The 22,903-nt window shown below is 55.0% G+C and overlaps 1 pseudogene, besides 12 other annotated features; it reads right to left on the bottom strand.

The window, feature by feature from the left end:
• Window positions 1–3,376: 3,376 nt before the first annotated feature.
• On the bottom strand, window positions 3,377–3,761 carry LOC112268255 (NADH dehydrogenase [ubiquinone] 1 alpha subcomplex assembly factor 8-like; annotated as a pseudogene).
• Window positions 5,358–5,652: an enhancer, noted in NCBI's record as "tiled region #5028; K562 Activating DNase matched - State 8:EnhW". NCBI's record gives its function as "activates a minimal TATA promoter and a strong SV40 promoter by Sharpr-MPRA in K562 cells {active_cell/tissue: K562}" and the evidence as "EXISTENCE:reporter gene assay evidence [ECO:0000049][PMID:27701403]".
• Window positions 7,887–8,116: an enhancer, noted in NCBI's record as "active region_2646". NCBI's record gives its function as "activates an Ori minimal core promoter by ATAC-STARR-seq in GM12878 lymphoblastoid cells {active_cell/tissue: GM12878}" and the evidence as "EXISTENCE:reporter gene assay evidence [ECO:0000049][PMID:35858748]".
• Window positions 8,207–8,586: a silencer, noted in NCBI's record as "silent region_1879". NCBI's record gives its function as "represses an Ori minimal core promoter by ATAC-STARR-seq in GM12878 lymphoblastoid cells {active_cell/tissue: GM12878}" and the evidence as "EXISTENCE:reporter gene assay evidence [ECO:0000049][PMID:35858748]".
• Window positions 8,597–8,986: a silencer, noted in NCBI's record as "silent region_1878". NCBI's record gives its function as "represses an Ori minimal core promoter by ATAC-STARR-seq in GM12878 lymphoblastoid cells {active_cell/tissue: GM12878}" and the evidence as "EXISTENCE:reporter gene assay evidence [ECO:0000049][PMID:35858748]".
• Window positions 9,167–9,406: a silencer, noted in NCBI's record as "silent region_1877". NCBI's record gives its function as "represses an Ori minimal core promoter by ATAC-STARR-seq in GM12878 lymphoblastoid cells {active_cell/tissue: GM12878}" and the evidence as "EXISTENCE:reporter gene assay evidence [ECO:0000049][PMID:35858748]".
• Window positions 9,417–9,476: a silencer, noted in NCBI's record as "silent region_1876". NCBI's record gives its function as "represses an Ori minimal core promoter by ATAC-STARR-seq in GM12878 lymphoblastoid cells {active_cell/tissue: GM12878}" and the evidence as "EXISTENCE:reporter gene assay evidence [ECO:0000049][PMID:35858748]".
• Window positions 14,976–15,780: an enhancer, noted in NCBI's record as "H3K27ac hESC enhancer chr1:226302781-226303585 (GRCh37/hg19 assembly coordinates)". NCBI's record gives its function as "activates a minimal SCP1, AML or CMV promoter by ChIP-STARR-seq in primed H9 embryonic stem cells {active_cell/tissue: H9 hESC(primed)}" and the evidence as "EXISTENCE:reporter gene assay evidence [ECO:0000049][PMID:30033119]".
• Window positions 18,858–19,365: an enhancer, noted in NCBI's record as "H3K4me1 hESC enhancer chr1:226299196-226299703 (GRCh37/hg19 assembly coordinates)". NCBI's record gives its function as "activates a minimal SCP1, AML or CMV promoter by ChIP-STARR-seq in primed H9 embryonic stem cells {active_cell/tissue: H9 hESC(primed)}" and the evidence as "EXISTENCE:reporter gene assay evidence [ECO:0000049][PMID:30033119]".
• Window positions 19,784–19,833: a silencer, noted in NCBI's record as "silent region_1875". NCBI's record gives its function as "represses an Ori minimal core promoter by ATAC-STARR-seq in GM12878 lymphoblastoid cells {active_cell/tissue: GM12878}" and the evidence as "EXISTENCE:reporter gene assay evidence [ECO:0000049][PMID:35858748]".
• Window positions 20,214–20,673: a silencer, noted in NCBI's record as "silent region_1874". NCBI's record gives its function as "represses an Ori minimal core promoter by ATAC-STARR-seq in GM12878 lymphoblastoid cells {active_cell/tissue: GM12878}" and the evidence as "EXISTENCE:reporter gene assay evidence [ECO:0000049][PMID:35858748]".
• Window positions 20,754–20,853: a silencer, noted in NCBI's record as "silent region_1873". NCBI's record gives its function as "represses an Ori minimal core promoter by ATAC-STARR-seq in GM12878 lymphoblastoid cells {active_cell/tissue: GM12878}" and the evidence as "EXISTENCE:reporter gene assay evidence [ECO:0000049][PMID:35858748]".
• Window positions 22,401–22,595: a silencer, noted in NCBI's record as "fragment chr1:226295966-226296160 (GRCh37/hg19 assembly coordinates)". NCBI's record gives its function as "represses an EF-1alpha promoter that drives an FKBP-Casp9 reporter gene in an ReSE screen in phorbol 12-myristate 13-acetate-treated (for megakaryocytic differentiation) K562 erythroleukemia cells {active_cell/tissue: K562(+PMA)}" and the evidence as "EXISTENCE:reporter gene assay evidence [ECO:0000049][PMID:32094911]".

The raw sequence follows: 22,903 nt of genomic DNA, 5'->3' as shown, positions 1-22,903 counted from the left end.
CTCTGTCACTTCTGCAATATCCTATTCATTACACAGGTCATCCCTGCTCAATGTAGGAGGCACTACATAGGAATGTGAATACCAGGAGACAAGAATTATGGGGTCACCTTAGAGACTAGCTACCACACCGAGTCTCCAGCCCAGACTCTTAGTGGTAGAGAGCAGCCTCCACAGAAGGAAACCAATAATCTGGTAAGGGAGTTTAGGGGCAGTGGGGAAATGTTGGTCACAGGATACAAAGTTTCAGTTAGAAGGAACAAGTTCTGGAGATGGAATGGATATGTTAACTATCTTGATTTAGTCATTCCACAGTGTATACATATATCAAAACATCATGTTGTACACTATAAATATATACAAGTTTTATGTGTTAATTTTTTTTTTTTTTTTGAGACGGAGTCTCACTCTGTTGCCCAGGCCAGAGTGCAGTGGCAAGATCTTGGCTCATTGCTACCTCCACCTCCCAGGCTTATGCAATTCTCCTGCCTCAGCCCCCCGAGTAGCTGGGAATACAGCCGCGTGCTACCACGCCCAGCTAATTTTTGTATTTTTAGTAGAGACAGGGTTTCCCTATGTTGGCCAGGCTGATCTTGAACTCCTGACCTCATGATCCACCCACCTCGGCCTCCCAAAGTGCTGGGATTACAGGTGTGAGCCACTGTGCCTGGCCAACTGTTTTTAAAAAACAATAAAACTGGTGAGGCTTTACCCCTTCTCCACCACCCTTCCCTGCCTTAGACCCTGAGTGGTACTGACCCAGAGCTGGCCCATGTGGGGCCCACTCACCTGATCACAGTTCACTGGTCCAGGAAGAAGCACCTAACCCAATTGGCTGTCTCCCAGGGTTTTTAAATTTGGCAGCGAGTGAGTTCCTCTGGTGGAAGATGGACCCTGTGGGTGATTGTTCCCAGCTGGGTGGGGAAATTAGCCTGGAGAGACCGGAGAACCCAGGCCTCAGTTCCCATTGTGCATGAAGCCGAGTGACATCTCTGTACTGCTTTTTAGTCCATTTCCTGCTGCCATACAGAATTCCACAGAGTGGGCCAGACACGGTGGCTCACGCACTTTGGGAGGCTGAGGTTGGCAGATCACTTAAGCCCAGGAGTTGGAGACCAGCCTGGGCAACGTGGTGAAACCCCGTCTCTACTAAAAATACAAAAATTAGCAGAGCATGGTGGCGCACACCTGTGATCCCAGCTACTTGGGAGGCTGAGGCAGGAGAATTGCTTGAACCCAGGAGGCGGAGGTTGCAGTGAGCGGAGATTGCACCACTGCACTCCAGTCTGGGTGACTGACAGAGCAAGATTCCATCTCAAATAATAATAGTAATAATAGTATAAAAAATTTTAAAAAGAATTCCACAGACTGGGTGGAAAAGAAATTGATTTCCCACAGTCCTGGAGGCTGGAAAGTCCAAGAGCATGGCACCAGCATCTTGTGAGGGCCCCACCATGGCAGAAGGATGGAAGGCAGAGGTAAGCATGTGAGACATGAGAGGGAAGTGGTCCAGAATCATCCTTTTTATCAAGAACCCACTCCAGAGATGATGGCATGGATCCATTCCTGAGGGCAGAGCCCTCATAACCTAATTACCTTGCAAAGGCCCCACCTGCCAATGCCACCATCACAACGGCAATTACATTTCAACATGAACATTGCTGGGGACATTTGAACCATAGCACTCTGTTTTGTCCATGGTCTGGGCTTAGAACCAATAAATTACCCCTTCCTCCCAAGCCTTCTTGAGTTGGGTGATGAAGTTCTGTCACCTCATCATCTCTTCCTGGGTGGCCTTCTGTGGAAGATGATGCTATCGGCAGTGTTTCTCAGCATGCAGCCAGTGCTATCGGCATCCACATCACCCAGGGCTCTTGAAAATATCAGTGCCTGGGCCCCCCCTCCAACCTGCTGAATCAGATTCTCTAGGGTGGGCCCCAGGCTTCTGCAATTTCAACATTGGAATTTGGGCAGGACTATGACACAGTGACTCACTGCCCCTCTCCAGCTGTCCTGTGTGTCCTGCAGTTCATGCTGCTTAGTGTTGACAGTGTCTGAGAAACCCAAAGTGTTGTAGCCCTGGGAGGTGGTATGTGGGCTCATAGCTTTGGGGAACCAAGTGGAGTTAAGAGCTGTGATAAAAGCACTGTGGGCGTTCCAGGCTGGGGTGGGGGCTGGAATCTGAGGAATGGAGGAGTATCTAGGAAAGTGGCTGGAAGCGGACAACATTGTGCTGGCTGCAGCTCATTCTTAGTGGGCAGGTCTTAGCAAGTCGTGTCATTCACAGCCCAGTTAAAAGATGTACTGGGCCGGGCACGGTGGCTCATGCCTGTAATCCCAGCACTTTGGAAGGCAGAGGTGGGCGGATCACCTGAGGTAAGGAGTTCGAGACCAGCCTGGCCAACATGGTGAAACCCCCATCTCTACTAAAAATACAAAATTTAGCCAACCGTGGTGGCAGGCACCTGTGATCCCAGCTACTCAGGAGGCTGAGGCAGGAGCATCGCTGGAACCCGGGAGGCGGAGGTTGCAGTGAGCCGAGATTGCGCCACTGCACCCCACCCTGGGCAACAGAGCGAGGATTCATCTCAGAAAATAAAACAAAAAGTTGAACCAAGATTGCAAAGTTCCCTTCCAGCTCCAAAACTCAAGCCAGGGGCCCTGTGAGACTTTCCCGGAAGTCTGGGCCCTGAGGTTGCTGAGGGCGCTTCCATGCAGGTGCCGCTTCCATCCAGGAACTGAGCTCTGCCCTTCCGTTTGTTTGTTCACTTCACTCCTCCCCTAGAGGCTGAAGTTGCTTCTGGGAAGGAGGCTGGGCACTTCTGGGCTGAGCCTTGTTTCCATAGCACCCAGCCACCCTGCCAGGAAGACACAGGTTTCTCCTGGTTGACTGTGAGAGGACTTTGACCCGCGCTCCGTTTCCTGCTGGGCCAGACTTAGGAGGAGGTACCGGGGCAAGCAGCACAGTGGGACTTGCAGGTCCCGGACCCAGCCCTTCATTCAGACCAGTTGTTCTGGAAGTTTGGGCCCCAACCAAGAGCAACAGCAGCAGTATCAGGAAACTTGTTAGAAATGCAAATTACCGGACCCCACCCTGGACCTACTAAATTAGAAACTCTAGGGTGGGGCCAGCCATCTGTGTTTTTGTAAGTCCCCAGGTGTCTCTCATGCACACCAAAGTTTCAGAAACACTTTATGCATTGTGTGCATGTGTGTGTGTGTGTGTTTTCTTTTTTTTCTTTTTTTTTTTTTTGCAGGATTTGACAGAGTCTTTATCTGGCTTCTGTTACATCTTATTCTGACTCAGGTTTACGGACACAATGCTGGAAAACCAGTTCCTGCTCTACCCACGCCTCAACTTGTTAAGAAGAAACAGTATCTAACACCGAGGCACGTCACATCTTCGCCATTCCCACTTCCTTTCTGCCCTAGGCATTCAATGTATGCCACCGGGGGCCATCAGGACTAGGGCTCTGCAACCACGGCAGCAGACAGGTGTGAAGCTCAGAGTCCCTCCTAACAGCCTCCCTCCAGCGTCTTCTTGGCCGCGGCGGCGAAGCAGCTCCGCAGGGCCTCGAACTCCCGCGCGCAGAAGTCCTTACTCGGCCCCGCAGGCGGCCAGCCGCTCGGGGAAGGCGCGGAGGCAGCTTCGCATGCGGCCCCACACCGCTCCGTCAGCCGACATGAGCGGCTATTCCCAGCGCCCCTCATGTGTGTGTTTTCAAAATGAGGTTTTGCTCTGTCACTGAGGCTGGAGTGCAGAGGTGCCATCATAGCCCATTGCAACCTCCACCTCCTGGCCTTAAGCAGTCCTCCTGCCTCAGCCTCCCAAGTAGCTGGGACTACAAGTGTGTGCTTGTTTTTTCTTTTGTAGAGATAGGGTCTTGCTATGTTGTCCAGGCTGGTCTTGAAGCCCTGGGCTCAAGCAATCCTTCCACCTTGGCCTCCCAAAGCACTGAGATTATAAGCATGAGCCTCCATACCCAGCCCAAGAACCCCCACTTTATTGTGTGATCAATTGTTCCAGTTTGCCCAGGACTCTCAGTTTTAGCACTGGGACTCTCTCTTTTTTTTTTAGACGGATTCTTGCTCTGTCGCCCAGGCTGGAGTGCAGTGGCGCGATCTCAGCTCACTGCAACCTCCACCTCCCAGGTTCATGCCATTCTTCTGCCTCAGCCTCCCGAGCAGCTGGGACTACAGGTGCCCGCCACCACGCCCAGCTAATTTTTTGTATTTTTAGTAGAGACGGGGTTTCACTGTGTTAGCCAGGATGGTCTCGATCTCGTGACCTCGTGACCCACCCGCCTTGGCCTCCCAAAGTCCTGGGATTACAGGCATAAGCCACCGTGCCCGGCTTTTTTTTTTTCTTTTTTCTTTTTTTTTTTTTTTTTGAGACAATCTCGCTCTGTCATCCAGGCTGGAGTAAAGTGGCACAATCTTGGCTCACTGCGACCTCTGTCTCCCGTGGTTCAAGCAATCCTCCTACCTCAGCCTCCCAGGTAGCTGGGACTACAGGTGTGTGCCACCATGTCCAGCTAATTTTTGTATTTTTTTGTAAAGACAGGGTTTCACCATGTTGCCCAGGCTGGTCTTGAACTCCTGAGCTCAAGCAATTCACCCACCTCAATCTTCCAAAATGCTGGGAGTACAGGCATAAGCCACCGCTCTCACCCATTCATTCAGTTTTTCAAAATCAGATCTGAGCTCCAGTCCTGGGAGCCTGGGGCAGCTTCTGATGCTAGGAGAGGCACAGGCCTGGCTACCACCATGGGTAGCAGAGGAGTGGGGTCAGCTCTGAACTTAGGAGAGTGATAGGAGGGAGAGGAGGCTGGGAGAGTAACAGGAGGGAAGGAGGGAAATTCTGCTGCCGCCGCCGCCGCCGCCGCCGCCGCTGCTGCTTTGAAGCTTTCCTGGGTAAATGGTGACAAGGACCACAAACCTCCTTACCTGGGCGAGAGCTTTGGGAGGTTTCAAAGCACCTTCACTTACATCACCCTACTGGATTCCAAATTACTCCTTAGAGCAGTGCCCATAAGAAATACTGCATTTGTCCAGTTTCTATTTCCTCTGCCTGAGCTTGAGCTGCTTTGGTGGCAGGGACCATCCCAGTGTCCCCATCAAACCTTCAGTGCCCAGTAGACAGAACCCTTGCCCAATCTTCCCGTCCAAATCCTGCATCTTCTGCAGGAGCTAGTTCCTCTGCAGGTCCTGGCAATATGGAGCACAGGGTCCATAGTTTTCCTCCCACCTATGGATTTCCTCTGGGCCATCACAGCCTGTTCCACAGACTGAATTTCAGCTCCCTGTCTTGGCCAGGGCACATCCTGTCTAATCACTCATGTTCACCCAGCTTTGCACCCTCTTCAGCCTCCCCACGTTTAAGCGAGGCAGCTGGCGGTGCAGGAAGAATATTCATCCATCTCCTAGGAGCTCAGGAGTCAGACCCTGGGCCCAGACTCCTGCAGCAAGTCGGGGCTTCTGTCACAAGCGCCTCACCTTACTGGCTTTGGCGCCATCTAGTGGACGCATCTGGGTCTGCGGGGACCGCAGCCCTTCCTGTGACCCAGAAGCAAAACCAGCAATTTACCTGGCCGTACATTATTTTTGAGTCCCGAATCCCAAGAGTCCACTCCCAACCCAGCTCAGCATGTATTGTCCACTGCCTGCTTAGTGCCGGACCAACACACCTTCACCTCACATCAACAGGGACTCAAACAGAGCCTCTTCCCCTCAAATCCCAGCCCCATACTCAACTGTGTGCACAAAAGCAGGCATTCGTCCTAACAAAGCAGAATGAAACAACCCAAACTTCCCTCAAGATGGGGAGCATGCATTCTACGGAATATTATGAAATGGATAAAAGGGTTTGCTGGATTGGAAACGTCTCCAAAAGCACATTAAAGAACAATACATACCGCATGATGCCGTTTATTGGAAGAAACAAACCCAAGCCTGATCCACTGTTCGCATATCCGTGTGAAATGCAGAGGGAGGGCTGGACACACACCAAGCTAATCACAGGGACCTTTAGGGAGGGATGGGGGTGGGGTAAGGGTGAAAGAGGCCTTTCCTTTTACACACCTTTACTGTGTATCTTTTTATATTTCTAAGGCAAAAGGTAAATTAAACAACCCCTGTGTTAAAGGTGGAGAGTGTCCAGGTTCTTGGCATCTTGAACAAAGAATTGGAAGAGACACACAAACAAAGCAAGGAAGGAATGAAGATTTTATTGAAAATGAAAGTACACTCCACTGTGTGGGAATGGGCCTGAGTGTAGGATTCAAAAGGCCCTGTTACAGAATTTGGGGGAGTTTAAATACCCCCTAGAGGATTCATTGGTTACTTCGGGTATGCCCTATATAAACAGAGAGGATGAAGTAAAGTTACAAAGTCATTTACCTGATATGCCCTATGGAGAGGATATTTCCGGTTATAGCTGAAGTGTGAATGAGCCTTATGTTCCCTGCCTCCAGACCCTATTTTCCTGCCTCACCTGGTGCCAGGAGCTGAGTCGCTGCTGCTCTCCCAGGTGCTCCATGATGAGCAGTGCTGGCCTTCTGATCCGACTCTCCCACACCCACACCAGCTGCCTTCCTGAGCCACCAGGCTCCCCAGTGGTGGCTCCTCTCCTTTGACGGCCTTGTCACCTCTCTGCAGTCTCTTCCCCTCACACCTGGCCGCTGCAGCCCCTCAGTGGTGAGCATTCGGTGGGCTGATCAGCATCCGCACACCGCTCCTAGTAAGGGGCAATCCCCATTTTGTGAGCTGTCATGGGAGCCAGGGCCCCTCCTCCCACCTCAAAGGCTAAAGGGGGCAGCATTCCTTCTCCCTTCCTGGGCATCTGGCTAACCCAGGCAAAGATGCAGGGACAGGAGCCCTCCCTCCCCGCTGTGGTGCCCAGCACCCCCGCCCATCATTACAGCCAATGCCTGTGGAGTTGTGGCAGGGGCTGCATTCAGCGATGCTGCAGCCCAGTAGTGGTGGTGACCACAGTCACCTCCCAAGACTGTCCCCGGCTGTGGCTGTGGCCATCCAGACTCCTGGTCAGCTCCCTGAGCTCCCCACAATACTCCCAAGGACTCCTTTTCTACTTAGTCATCAGGGTTGATTTCGATTGCTGGCCACCTCCCTTTGGGCCCTGGCCAGGCCTGTGGAGCTAGTCCTTTCCAAGTGTCACAGGTGAGTGACTGTGTGTGAGGGACAGCGGGTCAGTGTGATAGATAACCTGTGGTCCACATAGGGAGATGGTGCCATACCAAGAAACTGCCAGGACCGAGATGTTAAAGAGTCAGGGGATGTGACTTGCTAAAGGCAACCACGGGAGATGACTGTGCTGGGAAGATGGTTTCAAGAAAACTGGGAACCTAGGAAGCTTGGTGAGCACCCACTTGGACCTTCCCTGGCCTGGCAGGGCCTCCCCTTGGAGGGATAGCCCTGCAGCTTCCCCATCAGTGGGCAGGCTTGGGGAGGGCCTGGAGAGGAGAGGGGTCCCCTAAACACACCCAGCCCCAGGGCCTCAGCAGACAAGTGCTGGTCACCTATTATTTGTACTTATTGTAGTAAACAGTCACTTTTAGGCTGGGGGCTCACGCATGTAATCCCAGCACTTTGGGAGGCCGAGAGGGGCGGATCACTTGAGCTCAGGAGTTTGAGACCAGCCTGGCCAACATGGCAAAACCCCGTCTCTACTAAAACTACAAAAAAATTAGCCGGGCGTGGTGGCGGGCGCCTTGTAATCTTAGCTACTGGGGAGGCCGAGGCAGGAGAATGGCGTGAACCCGGGAGGCGGAGGTTGCAGTGAGCCGAGGTTGCTCCCCTGCACTCCAGCCTGGGCGACAGAGCGAGACTCCATCTCATAAAAAATCACAACAGTCACTTTTATGAGCAGTGCTCATTTCACCCCGCCTCTACCACACACTCGGCAGGGCGGCTTCACAGGTGCCCTTCCTGCTGTCTGGGACCCTTTGCCAGACTCCTCCCCACCTGGCCACCCTTCTTTCCAACCAACAACGTGGCTCCTCGGTTCCTCCAGGTTCCTTCCTGCCCTGTAAAACCCCTGGCCTCCTGCCAGGCTCAAGAAATGCCCTCGGATCTCTTCCGTGCTTTCGCCCCGCAGGAGACACAGCCTAGGTCCCGCCTCCGTCACGCGACAGAGACTCAGAAAGCGCCCACGCGGGCAGGGCCCGGGCAAGACTACCTCACCGCCGCCCACCCATCCCCGGAGCCTTCAGCAGCGCGGAGCTCAGGCTTCCCTGTCTCCCCTCTGCCCCCGCGCCGGCCGTGCGTGCAGTGCTTCGGCCCCTAGGCTGCGCCCGCGCCCCGTCCTCCCTCCCGGGGTTGGTGCGGGTCTCCCAGGCCGGGCCGGGGCACTGGACCGACGCCCAGGAAGCGGCCGCCGCCGCAGCGAATTGCCCGCTCTCGCTTCGGCTTTCACCGCCCAGAAAGCGGCGCCTCCGACCTGGCTCTTAAACAACGGCGACTTTTATTATAAAGCCCGGGGGTGGTGCGGAGGAGCCCGCCACTCGGTGCCCCTCACTGCGGCCTCTGGCCTTCGCCTGGAAGGCGCGCGAGCCGGCGGCCCCGAGAGGCCGGGGGTGGGAGGCGCGGGGGCGACCCCGACGCGTGGAGCCGCCCGGGACGCACGCGGGCCCCAGCAGCCCCGAGTGCAGTCCTGGCTGCGTTGTGGGAGCCGCGGCCACGCCAGCGCCGGGGCCCCTCCCGCCCGAGACTGGTGAGGCGGCGGGAAACCGCGGGACGGCCAGGCTGGGGCTCTTCAGTGCGGCTCTCGGCGGGACTGCGGTCGCGGAACAAAGGGGCGCGGAGGTGGGCGGGGGGTGCATCGCCGGCGGGGCGGGGCCTCGGCGTCCGGGGCTGAGGTCTCCTCACCTCCGGGCCGGGCGGGGTCTGGCGGCCGCGCCCCTCCGCGGGCTCCCCAGGCGCCCAGCCGCGCGGCAACAACCACAGCCACCGTTTCCGCTCCCCGCCCGCCCCTGCTCAGCGCTGGGGGCGCGAGGGCGCTGCTCGCCCGATTCAGAGGCCAGGTGTAACTACTGGTGTCACAGAAGTTCGGTGTTTCCAAGATGTGCTTCCTTTTTGTAGCGAAGGAAGCGCGGCCACCAGGCCAGGTCGTCCCAAAGTGCAGGGTCCCCGGCCCCCGTCATCCCCGCCCGGTTGCAGGCCCCGACGCTCCGCGCTCCCGCCTGCTGCGCGCGGCGGCCACCAGAGGGCGCCCGGCTGCTGTCACCCCGCGGAGCGCGGGACCCAGGCCGGGCGGGGGAGGTCAGCGGCGGGCCCGCCACCCCCGGCCCCTGCGGGGGGGGGCCTGGCGCTGCTGGCGGCCGGAGGGACGATTGCGGGGTCCCTTTCCCAGACCGGAACCAACAAGGCCGCCGGCCAGAGAACCGAGTTGGGTCGCCGTGTGACCTCGGGGCAGGTGCTAGCCGTCGTTGTGCCTCGGTTTCCCGCCTGTGAAGAGAGAGCGAGCACTGCCCGTCTGTGCATTGGGTCGCGATTCCCAAGCTCCCTAGGCTGGCCGTGGGGGAAGGCGGCCCCGCCGCCCCTGAGGCCCCGCGTGGGAACTCTCTTAGCAAGGGCACTGACGACGTCCTACTAACTGCCTTACGACTGTATTTTAAAGGAAGGTGGGAGGCAGGGCCCCTCATTTCCAAGTGCACCACCCACCAAAGCTGTGATCTTGTCACTGCTCAATACGAGCCTGGAAAATGATGTACAGCCCTTCCTTTAAGCGTGCTCGGTAAAAGGAGATCCATCCCAACAAGCAGAAGCTGATAATCTGCTTGAAAAGGGATTCCTCCACTTACGAAATTATTTGCAACGGGATTTTTCTCATTGAGTAAATTGTAGGCAAATCACCTGTGAATGAATATTTGTAACAGGCCAGCGGATTTGGAAATGAGTCTTACTGTAAAATAAGTACTTCCGTGGTAAAAATGGTTCCAGGGCCAAGGATGGGCCTGTGGTTCAGCTGGAGCATGCTGCCGGCTCACCTGATGGGCGCCTAGGACGTTCTCTAACGGGCCTCTGAGCCTGGTTCCCTCCCATTCCCTCTGCATCCACTCCAGCAGGGAGTCCAGGAGGATTCTACCCTTCCTTGGCCAGAGGATGCTGAAGCTGGGCCCCTTCCTACCTGTTTCCTCTCTTGTGCCCCATCTCCTAGGGGAGATCCTTTGCTCCACTAGGCTCGACTGGAAGAGACCGGGAGGCCATGCAGGGAGCACCCTCACTGGCCAGGCACCCAAGGTGTGCCAGGCACGGCCTCCCAGGCTGTAGCTCTACCAGGAGTGGGTTCTCCTTGTGAAGATTCTGACTTTGCTTGTCCCACCTGGCTTGGGGACTCCCACCCTCGCTCAACCACAGCATTGCCAAACTCAGTAGGGCATCTCTCTGGACACAGAGGGATGGAGGAAATGGCCACTCAGGCTCCAGAACTGCACGGGAATTCTGGGCCATATCTTGGCCCACCAGCCTCAGCTCACCCTGGCCACTCAAGCCTCGGCCTTCCTGGGGCCCCTTGGTTCTGGGGAGGGACCCATTAGTAAATACCATTGCTCACTTGCTGCTTTTAAATCTCCTGAACGTTGGCGGGGCACAGTGGCTCACACTTGTAATCCCAGCACTTTGAGAGGCAGAGGTGGGTGGATCATTTGAGGCCAGGAGTTCGAGACCAGCCTGGCCAAGACAGTGAAACCCCGTCTCTACTAAAAATACAAACATTAGCCAGGCGTAGTGATGTACGCCTGTAGTCCCAGCTACTTGGGAGGCTGAGGCAAGAGAATCACTTGAACCAGTGAGCAGAGGTTGCAGTGAGCCAAGGTCGCACCACTGTACTCCAGCCTGGGTGACAGAGTGAGACCCTGTCTCAAAAAAGCAAACAACAAAAAACAAAACAAAACAAACAAAAAGCCCAAAAATCAATCTCCTGAACGTTGTGAATTTTTCATTAAATCCAAAAAGCTGGTGGAACGAGCACAGGCTTTCCACCCTCTCACCTGCAGAAGAGGCGGAAGCCAGTGCTGGTTTGATGGTGCCCTCTTCATTCCCATTGAGGTTGGAAAGCTGCCCCTCCCCAGCAGCCCTGGCCTCCCCTAGGGTGATGCTCAGGCCTGCCCTGGCACACAGTGAGGGTGGAATCCTGAGAAGCCTATGGGGAGGGGAGCCAGACCTGGGGCTTCAGGTGGGAACCACCCAGCTGCCTTCATTACAGCTCTGGGGCTGTCCTTCCCACCACCGCATCCCTGCAGCTTGAGAGGGCTTACAGCCCATTCAAGAGAGACAGGCTTCATCCTCTGTGCACAGGCAGAATGCACCTCGTGCAGTGGATTGCCGCCATCCTTTTCTGTTTATTCTTCATTCATTTGTCCTACCCACAGTTCCTGACACTTGTTTCGAATCAGGCTCTCCAGTAGGGGTGAGGGCGGAAACATAAAGACATATTTTTCTGGGGTTCACGGAGAGTGATTCTTACTTCCTCATATTGGGGGGTTGGGGGGGACACTCTGACTTCACCATTTACTAGCTGTGTGACCTAAGCAAGGCAAGTCACCCAGCCTCTCTGAGACTGTTTCCTTATCTATAAAATGGGACCAAGGGGGACTTGCCCAGAGACCTCCACTGTGAGTCTTGGCTGTAGGTTGTGAAGGGTTCCAGTGGAACGTCCTCTGGCCACAGCAGAAAGATAGCCTGGGGCTCTGGGGACTGTGGAGATAGGCCAGACCCTCCTCCTGGAAGGCCCTTTGTCTCTCTTCCACCTTCCTTCACCCACCTGGGGCTCCTCCCTGTTGTCCAGTGATGTCCAAGGGCCTGCTGCCTGTGGCTTGGCTGATTGAATATTGAGGGTCACTGAGGACTCCTGTCTGGGACAGGGACAGATACACCACAAAGGGAGAAAGAGCTCTCTAAGCCTCTTGAGTCATGAGGCCCCATCCTTGTTCTGGCTCTCCAACTTGCCCTGTGTGACCTCCTCGCAGGGCTTCCCCCATCCTATGAGGGCCTGCTCTGGACATGTCTGGAAGGGGGTGCACACCTCCCTGCAGTCAGGCGTCAGCCCGGGGGAACTGGCTATGCTTCATCCAGACCCTTCCTCTCCTCCCTTAGAAATAGACTCCCAGCTCCAGAAAATGCCCATTCACACCAGGAAGGTCTAAGGATCCTCCCTACCCTGTACCCCACCTCATACCCATCAAAGTAGCCCAGGGTCCCCAGCAGTCAAGGTCCCCAGCCTCAAGAATTTGCTCATTAAGAAAAAGCTGATTCCCCCTCCTTCACCCTTCCCTTCCTCCCTCTTCCCATCTCCTCCCCTCCTCCACACCATGAGCAGCAGGCCAAGGTGGGAGGGGAGACAGACACCACCACCCCCGCCACCCACAGCAATCTTAATTGCCTAGATGAATCTAGACAGAGGCCGCCTGAGGCAGGAGCCTCATGTGGGGATGGCACCATGAGAAAACGAACAGTTCACCGCACCCACATTCATCACCATCATTCTTCATCACCTCTCTGTTAGTGTCAGGGGCTTCTTTAATAAAACTTTTAGCTGACAGCTGCCACTGTCCCTCAAGAAGTGACATGCCTCTGCTGGAACAGATCATCAGGAGAATCCTCCCCCAACTCCCCTTCCCGACCTGGTTCCCCCAAATATCAACAGCCCTTTTGTCATCTGGAATACAATTGCCATTTGCCCCCATCCAAAGGGAAAGAGTGGACCCCACCCCACCTCCTACAGGATAGAGTCCAGCCCTCAGGAGTTGCGTGGTGAGGGCAGTCAGAGAGACCCGCTGTGGAGACTTTGCAATACTTGAGGTCTCTGGTCACCCTGAGGGCTGAGTGAGCAGGCCTTTGGGACTCTGGAGGATGAGGCCCAAGCCAGGACACTCCTTGCTTTGCTCCTAGCCTCTCCCAGGTTCCCACGTCCCTAGACCCACTCTGGTCCTGCCCTCCTCTGGCCTTGGCTGTCACTGTCATCTGCGCCCATCAAGCTAGAGCGCTATAAGGCAGTCTCATCTCCAGGGCTGGGGCTGGAGGTGCTCCTGACAGGCAGCTTCATTATCCCACTGGCAGGGAAATGTTTGCTGCATACCTGGGAGCCTAAACCTTACAGCTGGAACACAGGGCTGCACAGAAGCCAGGTTGCTGGGGGCTGGGGAAGGGAGGGGAGTTGTCCCTCAATACCCTTTGGCCCCTTCAGAATGTTGAGCTACATGAATGTTACCCAACAAGTAAATAAATAAAATATTCATAAAAACTGAGGCATACAGCCGTGTGCAGTGGTATACATCTATAGTCCCAGCTACTCGGGAGGCTGAGGTGGGAGGATCGCCTAAGCCCAGGAGATGGAGGCTGCAGTGCGCTATGATCATACCCATGAATAACCACTGCACACTCCAGCCTGGGCGACATAGAGAGAACCTGTCTCAAACAAACAAACAAACAAAAAAAGTGAGGCATGCAAAGGAAAGAACATCACTCACAACATCCTGAATTGCGGGTGCATGGGGGAAGCTGGGGTGCTCATCCCTCAGAGCACAGTATCTGTCTACCAGCACTCTCCCCTTAGCTCCCAGTTAACACTGGTTGGGGCACTCAGGATATTGTCTAAAAGTTAATCACGGGCCGGGCGTGGTAGCTCATGCCTGTAATCCCAGCCCTTTGGGAAGCCGAGGCAGGTGGAAGGCTTGAGGTCAGGAGTTCAAGACCAGCCTGACCAACATGGTGAAACTTCGTCTCTACTAAAAAACAAAAATTAGTCAGGCGTGGTGGCAGGCACCTGTAATCCAAGCTAGTCGGGAAGCTGAGGCAGGAGAATGGCTTGAAGCCAGCAGATGGAGGTTGTAGTGAGCCAAGATTGCACCACTGCACTCCAGCCTGACTGACTCCATTTCAAAAAAAAAAAAAAGAAAAAAAAAAAAGAGAGAGTTAATCACTTAAGGCTAGCCCGAGTTTCTTGTCATTGAGAACCTTGTCTTTGTTATCTCTTTCCCCAAGGCCCCTGCCTGTGGACCGTTGAATATATTTGTGAAGGGGAAGAGAAGGGAGAAGGCCATGTAGAATTGGCCTGGGAGCAGAAGTCATCTTTCTATGGGAGCAGAAAGACCCCCATTTTCCCTGCAGCACCTCAGCAGGGGAGCATGTGCTTCTGGGCTGTGCCTGAGGTCCTGGCATCCTTTTTGTTTTGAGACGGAGTTTCACTCTTGTCGCCCAGCTGGAGTGCAATGGCACAATCTCAGCTCACCGCATCCTCTGCCTCCTGGGTTCAAGCGATTCTCCTGCCTCAGCCTCCCGAGTAGCTGGGATTACAGGCACCCGCCACCACATCTGGCTAATTTTTGTATTTTTAGTAGAGACGGGGTTTCACCATGTTGGCCAGGCTGGTCTAGAACTGCTGACCTCAGGTGATCCACCTGCCTCAGCATCCCAAAGTTCTGGGATTACGGGCATGAGCCACTGCGCCCGGCCCAGGCATCCTTCTTGACTGTGGCACTAAGGGCCCGAACACGGCTCACCCTGACCCTCCTCTGAGAAGGAGGGATTAGTGGGTAAGCGGCCTCACACCCTCAGTGGTCTGGAAGGCTGCAGGCATGCGAAAGTTTGCATCACACTCAAGAGAGACCAGAGAGGGCCCTAGCTACCCACACATGCGGAGGAGAACATCGTGACTGGCACACTGCAGAGGAGACAGGAAAGGGCCTGGGGGAAAGCAAAAGCAGCATCAGACTTGTAAAGTTGTCTGGACTTTGAATATGTTCCTCACAATCTACACACAGATCCATTAGCAAACAGTGGAAGCTTTACTGGCTCAAATTGTTTCTCACAACCTCTGACCAATCACTGGCTTCCAGGGACAACCCTTAGAAAGTCAGGCTTAACTCTCCCTCTCCCTCCACCTCCCCCTCCCCCTCCCCTCTTTCCACTGTCTCCCTCTGATGCCGAGCCGAAGCTGGACTGTACTGCTGCCATCTCGGCTCACTGCAACCTCCCTGCCTGATTCTCCTGCCTCAGCCTGCCGAGTGCCTCAGGCGCGCACCGCCACGCCTGACTGGTTTTCGTATTTTTTGGGTTTCGCTGTGTTGGCCGGGCTGGTCTCCAGCTCCTAACCGCGAGTGATCCGCCAGCCTCGGCCTCCCGAGGTGCCAGGATTGCAGACGGAGTCTCCTTCACTCAGTGCTCAATGGTGCCCAGGCTGGAGTGCAGTGGCGTGATCTCGGCTCGCTACAACATCTACCTCCCAGCCGCCTGCCTTGGCCTCCCAAAGTGCTGAGATTGCAGCCTCTGCCTGGCCGCCACCCCGTCTGGGAAGTGAGGAGCGTCTCTGCCTGGCCGCCCATCGTCTGGGATGTGAGGAGCCCCTCTGCCTGGCTGCCCAGTCTGGAAAGTGAGGAGCGTCTCTGCCCAGCCGCCATCTCATCTAGGAAGTGAGGAGCGCCTCTTCCCGGCCGCCATCCCATGTAGGAAGTGAGGAGCGTCTCTGCCCGGCCGCCCATTGTCTGAGATGTGGGGAGCGCCTCTGCCCTGTCGCCCCGTCCGGGATGTGAGGAGCGTCTCTGCCCGGCCGCCCCGTCTGAGAAGTGAGGAGACCCTCTGCCTGGCAACCGCCCTGTCTGAGAAGTGAGGAGCCCCTCCGCCCAGCAGCCGCCCCGTCTGAGAAGTGGGGAGCCCCTCCGCCCGGCAGCCACCCCGTCTGGGAAGTGAGGAGCGTCTCCGCCCGGCAGCCACCCCGTCCGGGAGGGAGGTGGGGGGGTCAGCCCCCTGCCTGGCCAGCCGCCCCCTCCGGGAGGTGAGGGGCGCCTCTGCCCGGCCGCCCTACTGGGAAGTGAGGAGCCCCTCTGCCTGGCCGGCCGCCCCGACCGGGAGGGAGGTGGGGGGGGTCAGCCCCCCACCCGGCCAGCCGCCCCGTCCGGGAGGGAGGTGGGGGGGTCAGCCCCCCGCCCGGCCAGCCGCCCCATCCGGGAGGTGAGGGGCGCCTCTGCCCGGCCGCCCCTACTGGGAAGTGAGGAGCCCCTCTGCCCGGCCACCACCCCGTCTGGGAGGTGTACCCAACAGCTCATTGAGAACGGGCCATGATGACAATGGCAGTTTTGTGGAACAGAAAGGGGGCAAAGGTGGGGAAAAGATTGAGAAATCGGATGGTTGCTGTGTCTGTGTAGAAAGAGGTAGACATGGGAGACTTTTCATTTTGTTCTGTACTAAGAAAAATTCTTCTGCCTTGGGATCCTGTTGATCTGTGACCTTACCCCCAACCCTGTGCTCTCTGAAACATGTGCTGTGTCCACTCAGGGTTAAATGGATTAAGGGCGGTGCAAGATGTGCTTTGTTAAACAGATGCTTGAAGGCAGCATGCTCGTTAAGAGTCATCACCACTCCCTAATCTCAAGTACCCAGGGACACAAACACTGCGGAAGGCCGCAGGGTCCTCTGCCTAGGAAAACCAGAGACCTTTGTTCACTTGTTTATCTGCTGACCTTCCCTCCACTATTGTCCTGTGACCCTGCCAAATCCCCCTCTGCGAGAAACACCCAAGAATGATCAATAAAAAAAAAAAAAAAATAAATAAATAAATAAAAAGAAAGTCAGGCTTAAAAATAAAAACAAGCAGGCTGGGCGCAGTGGCTCACACCTGTAATCCCCGCACTTTGGGAGGCTGAGGCAGATGGATCATTTAAGGTCAGGAGTTGGAGAACAACCTGGGCAACACGGCGAAACCCTGTCTCTACTAAAAACACAAAAATTAGTTGGGTATGGTGGTGCACACCTGTAATCCCAGCTACTCGGGAGGCTGAGGTGGGAGAATCGCTTGAGCCCAGTGGGGTGGGGATGGAGGCGGAGTTTGTAGTGAGCCAAGATTGCACCACTGCACTCCAGCCTGGGTGACAGGTGACAGAGTGAGACTCTGTCTTAAAAAATAAAATAAATAAATAAAAACAAGCAGGAAAACTACTGAGCAGATCAGCGCCCGGAATAAAGGTTACTAATATTACAATAATATTTTCATTAGAACGTTCTAATTATAAAAATAAAACTTGTTTTCTTAAAAAAGAAAAGCAGCAGAAATAGCAGCAGCTGCACACTGTGAGGAGAAGGCAGACTCCAAAGAATCAGTCCAAGCCAGCCACTAAATGAACAAACAAGACGGCAACAACAATGCTGGGAAAGGGAACTGGAATCCACAGTTGTTACAATATATTTTATTTATTTACTTATTTATTTTTATGTTATTTTAATTTTTTTTGAGATGGAGTCTCACTCTGTTGCCCAGGCTGGAGTGCAATGGTGCGATCTCGGCTCACTGCAACCTCCACCTCCCGGGTTCAAGGGATTCTCCGGCCTCCACCTCCCGAGTAGCTGGGATTACAGGCATGCACCACCATGCCTGGCTAATTTTTGTAGTTTTGTAGAGATGGGGTTTCACCATGTTGGCTAGGCTGGTCTTGAACTTCTGACCTCAGGTGATCTGCCTGCCTCAGCCTCCCAAAGTGCTGGCATTACAGGCATGAACCACTGTGCCCGGCCTTATTTTATTTATTTATTTACTGAGACATGGTCTTGCTCTATCACCAAGGCTGGAGTGCAGTGGCACAATCTTGGCTCACTGCAACTTCTCGGCCTCTGAGTAGCTGGGACTACAGGCACACCAGCTAATTTTTGTATTTTTTGTAGAGACAGGGTCTCACTGTGTTGCCCAGGCTGGTCTCAAACTCCTGGCCTCAAAGGATCCTACCACCTCGACCTCCCAAAGTGCTGAAATTACAGGTGTGAGCCACCGTGTTTGGCCATATTATCTAAAATGTCCATTTGTCAACAAAAAATTGCAAGACATGCAAAGAAAAAGGAAAGTGTGACCCACACTCTGGAAAAAAAGAGAGTCAACAGAAACTCACTGAGGGGTCCCAGATGTTAGACTTTGTCTCTCTCCTTCCCTCTCTTTCTCCCTGTTCCAATTTCCAGGGACGAGGCTCTGACTGGCCAGGTTCCACCCCTGATCCTATCATCTGTGGAGGAGGTGGAGTGGGCAGAGAAAAATTGTAATAACATAGTACGTGGAAGCTACTTGACCCCACATGGGTGAAGATCATTTCCTAGAGAAAAGAGGGGTCACTGGTTCCAGTTTAGGTAGACATCCCCAGAGGTGTCTGTTGCTCTTGTTTCTTTTCTGAAAGGTAAGTGGTGACACCTCCAGGAGCCCAGTGGCATTTGGATTTGTTATCTCCCACTGGGAGGACGGCATCCTTCATTTGCTGGCCATTTCTTAGGTTGGTGATTTGCAAACATCCCTTCTCCCCATGGAGGGACTGTGTAGAGTTGGAAGAGGGGAGGGATGGGAAGAGGCTACACTAACCCTAGGCTCCTTTTCAGCAACCAAGTCTCAGAAGTGGTGCCATCATTCACTTTTGATTTAATGTAAATTGCATTAAAACAACAAAGAAATAGTTGTTGGATCTCTTTCCTCTGACTCCATTTCTGCCAATGATCAAGATTGGGCTGTGTGACCAGGACATGGGTGGGAGCCCTGACAACACTCAGGGTGGGCCCTGTGTGAACCGCAGCTCTCAAGTAGCAAGGAGAAGACAAAAGAACCAGGAATGAGAAAAATAAAAGGTATTAAAATAGGCTTAGCTACTTTGGGGTTTTCCTTTGTATTTATATTTAGCAAGGATTGTGTGCCTAACTCTGCATTAAAATAGCTGATGCTACCAGTCATTGTTCCAGGCCTTTGCACACTGCAGCCTGGCAGGCTTTCTGCAGCCAAAAGTGAAGGCAGCTGGCAGGGCCTGGCCCACCCAAGCCGAGGAGAGGGCATTTATTTCATGGACCTCCCTCACTGAACCCTCGTGGGCGTGAATGCAAACAGAAGCAGGGCACTTTGGGTATGGCTCCGAGCTGGGAAGGCTCATAGGACCAGCCATGCTCAAGGACTTAAGCCTCCAAAACGCGTCTCCTGCTGCCTGCGGCCATGGGAGCTGAGATTCCTCCACTGCATCACCAAGCCTGGCATCTCAGGGAGGCAGATGCTATAGCCAGCTCTGCTCACACTCCCTTGGGGACTCAGCGAGTCCTACCTTAAAATGCCAGAATCTGTCATATCCTCCCTACGGGCCCATTGGCCACCTGGGAGGAACAGGTGTGCCAGTGAAAGGAACAGGTGTGCCAGTGAAAGGTAGAATGGGGAAGGAGCTACAAAGGGGAGGAGGACCCTGGAGTGAGAAGGTTTATGAGACAAACCCTCCCTTTGCCCAGAGGTTTCCAAGTCTTGGCCCTGGTGCTAATGACCTGGTGCCAGTGACTTCCATGCAGAGCTGGACAGAGTCCCTGAGCAGTGGGCTGATAATCCTGCGCAGGAAGGCGGCCATAGGGTCTACCAATGACGTTAGAATACTGAGGAAGAGACAGTGTGATGTCCCTGTGTGCTTGACGACTTAAATTTATCCCCTGGGGACAGTTAGCATTTGAAGTGTCCTTGTCAGGAGCCCACACTCCAGAGGTGGCTATGTCAACTGCTTCAAATGCCTTTATCTAAATATGCACCTGGGGGTGTTAAAAATAGTTTCTTTGGGAAAATGATGGGTGTTCCAGATGTGACTGGCTGGAAAGAGTGAGCAGGCACTTATGCTGGGGAACGAAGATTACGAGTATCTGGCAAACTCCCGCCGCTCCAGCCTAGAGTTCCATCGGTATCTTGAGTTCCCCTTAGTGGGGGGATTCTGTTGGTTGATACCACAGAAGAATATAATTGCATTTGCTTCCAAGGGACTCTTTCTTGCAAGACATGTCAGAAATCCGGGCTCCCGCCGTTGGGCAGCAGCACCGTGACCTCTAGCAGGCTATTTAGCTCCGGCTTCCGCTTCTGTAGATTGGAGATGATGACAATCTTGCCAGGTGGTGGTGAGGGGTAGCCGAGCTTTAAAATGGCAAGTTTCTGCTGCAGCTCCCTCCGGCTGTGTGGCTGGAGCAAGGTCAGCAAGGCCCCGGGCCCCAGGCCCCGCCATCCCCGGCTACCCGAGAGCGCGGTCGCGGACGACTAGCCAGGACGCCCCTAGAGCCGCCCTTCCTTCCTCCGCCCGCGCCGCGCGGGCCACCCGCGGACATCTGGTGGCTAAGCAGCCTCTCCGGGCTGCTGCCTCCTCCGCCCCCGCTCCGGGAAGCCCCGAGCTGGCGCCCTCGCTCTGGTCGCAGCATCCGGGGCCGCCTCTTTCGCCCCGCGCGTGGCTCCGGAAGCAGGTCGGCTTGCCTCTGGGGATCCGCGCGCCTCTGGGGGTCCGCGCCGGCCCTGCCTTCCCCAGTGGTGGCGGGGGTCGGGGGGCGCCCAGGAGGCCCAGGGGCTGCCCCTCGGCCTCGCCGCAAGCGGCCAGCCGAGGCCAGTGGGCCAGGGCAGCTGCAGGCGCCTCCCTCCCCCGCAGCACTGAACTCCCCCGCCCCGCACTCGAGGCGGCTGCCAGGAACTGAAATATTAATAGGCACAAACTTCCTGGAAAGATTTGCGTCCTCAACACAAATGACCCCGCTTTGCCCACTGAAATAAATAAATAAAGGGCAGCTCCCGGGCCAGGCGGCAGAGGAGCCGGGGGGAACTGCCGGGGAGCCGGGGGGAACTGCCGCGAACCCGCCCCCCAGCCCGGCCTCCGCCGCGGCCCACGCGCTCTCCGCACTGCTCTTGGAACGTCCCGCGGGACGCACCGGGCGGAGGGCGCGGGCTCGGGGCTCCCTTTTTTAAGCAGGGCTTGGGCGCGCGCGGGCAGCCTGGACGCCCCGGGTGGTCGCGCGCACGCCCGGCCACGCGCACGCCCCCGCCCCCGCGCTCCCCGGAGCAGCCCCCGCCCGGCCGCGCGCCCGGCCAGCCAGCCCCTGCCCGCGAGTGACGCGCGCGCCTCCCAGCCTGCGGCTCCTCCTCTCCCGACGCAACTGGCCCGCCCTCCTCTGCGCTCCTCCGCCGGGACATCTGTCATTTAGGAACCTCAAAACAAATCTCCACCTGGCGTTTAGAAATGCGATTTGATTTTCAGAGTTCTTCGATATTCGCATCTCCCGGGATTCCCTGGGCAGGGAGGCAGCTGTGGCCCAGGAGGCCAACGCGCCTCTCCTCGCAGCAGCTCAGGAGGAGGTGACAGGCCAGGAAGCCCCACTCCGACCGCCGCTTTCCCCATGCGCCACGGATTCAGCGCCTGCTCCCATCTTGCCCATAGCACAGTTCCAAAGTAGGGAAGTGTCAGTGCCCAGCTCGACCGCATACCCCATGGAGACCGCATACCCCATGGAGCGGTCCGGACGCCCCAGCTCAGGCTTCAGGCTTCTGAAGGGAACAGCTGCATTTGTTCCAACTGTTCTCCCTACCTGGAAGCCATCCATTCATTCATTTAAAATAGTTATTGAGCGCCTAATAGGTCCTATTCTAGGCACTATTCTAGGAACTGGGGATACGGAGCAAAAACAAACACAAAAATCCCTGCGCTCCTAGAGTTTGTATTGTAATGGGAGAGACAGAGCAACCAAAGTAAAATGTAAAATATGTTAAATAGTGATCAAGCTAAGGGGAAAAAATAACCACAGGGAAGAAGGATATGAAATGTGTGTGTAGGAGAAGTTAAGTGTTGGATAGGGTGCCTGGAAAGGCCTCACTGAGAAGGCTACAGTGATTTTTGAGTAAAGGCCAGAGGGAACCAAGCAAGCCACCCACACAGATATCCGGCGGCCTGCTGTGTTCCCGGAAGAGCAGGGAGGCCAGAGTGGATGGAGCAGAGTGAAGAGGAGGTGCCTAGTGGAAGCCAGGGGCCTACCTCAGTGGCTCATGCCTTTTAATCCCAGCACTTTGAGAGGCCAAGGTGGAAGGATCACTTGAGGCCAGGGGTTCAGGACCAGCTTGGGCAACATCGCAAGCCAGCCCATCCCCTCCCCATCTCTATACTTTTTTTTTTTTTTTTTTTGGAAAATTAGCCAGGCTGGCCGGTAGGGTGGCTTACGCCTGTAATGGTAGCACTTTGGGAGGCTGAAGCTGGTGGATCACTTGAGGCCAGGAGTTGGAGACCAGCCTGGCCAACATGTATTTTTAGCTTTACTAAAAATACAAAAATTAGGCCGGTGGGGGGTCCCAGCACTTTGGGAGCTGAGGCGGGTGGATCCCCTGAGATCAAGAGTTTGAGACCAGCCGGGCCAACATGGTGAAACCCTGTCTCTACTAAAAATACAAAAATTAGCTGGGCATGGTGGCACACATCTGTAATCCCAGCTACTCAGGAGGCTGAGGCAGGAGAATCGCTTGAACCCGGGATGCGAAGTTTGCAATGAACCGAGATCATGCAATTGCACTCCAGCCTGGGCAACAAGAGTGGAACTACATCTCATAAAATATATATATACACACAAAAATTAGCTGGGTGTGGTGGCACGTGCCTGTAATCCCAGCTATGTAGGAGGCTGAGGCATGAGAATCGCTTGAACCTGGGAAGTGGAGGTTGAGTGAGCTGAGATTGTGCCACTGCACTCCAGCCTGGGCAACAGAGTGAGACTCTGCCTCAAAAAAAAAAAAGAAAGAAAGAAGAAAAGAAAATTAGGCATGATGGTGGTGCCTGTATTTCCAGCCACTTCAGAGGCTGAGGTGGGAGAATGGCTCAAACCCAGGAGTTTGAGCTGCAGTGAGCTATGAGCATGCCACTGTACTCCAGCCTGGACAGCAGAGTTAGACCCTGTCTTTGAAAATGAAAATAAGAAGCTAGGGCTGGAGAGGTAAGACAGGGGGATCAGATCTTGGAAAGAGACAGTGGGCCATTGTAAGGACTTGGGCTTACAGATGAGAGCCACTGCAGGGTTCTTTCTGAGCAGAAGAGGGACACCTCTGACTTTGAAAGCAGCACCCTGCGGGGTGGGGAGATTGTAGAAGTAAGGGCAGAAACAAGAGACCAGT

Source organism: Homo sapiens, chromosome 1 (assembly GCF_000001405.40).
Source record: "Homo sapiens chromosome 1, GRCh38.p14 Primary Assembly".
In the NCBI taxonomy this organism is placed as follows: Eukaryota; Metazoa; Chordata; class Mammalia; order Primates; family Hominidae; genus Homo; species Homo sapiens.
Note: the sequence above shows the minus strand (reverse complement) of the source record. Positions and strands in the feature narration are given on the sequence as shown.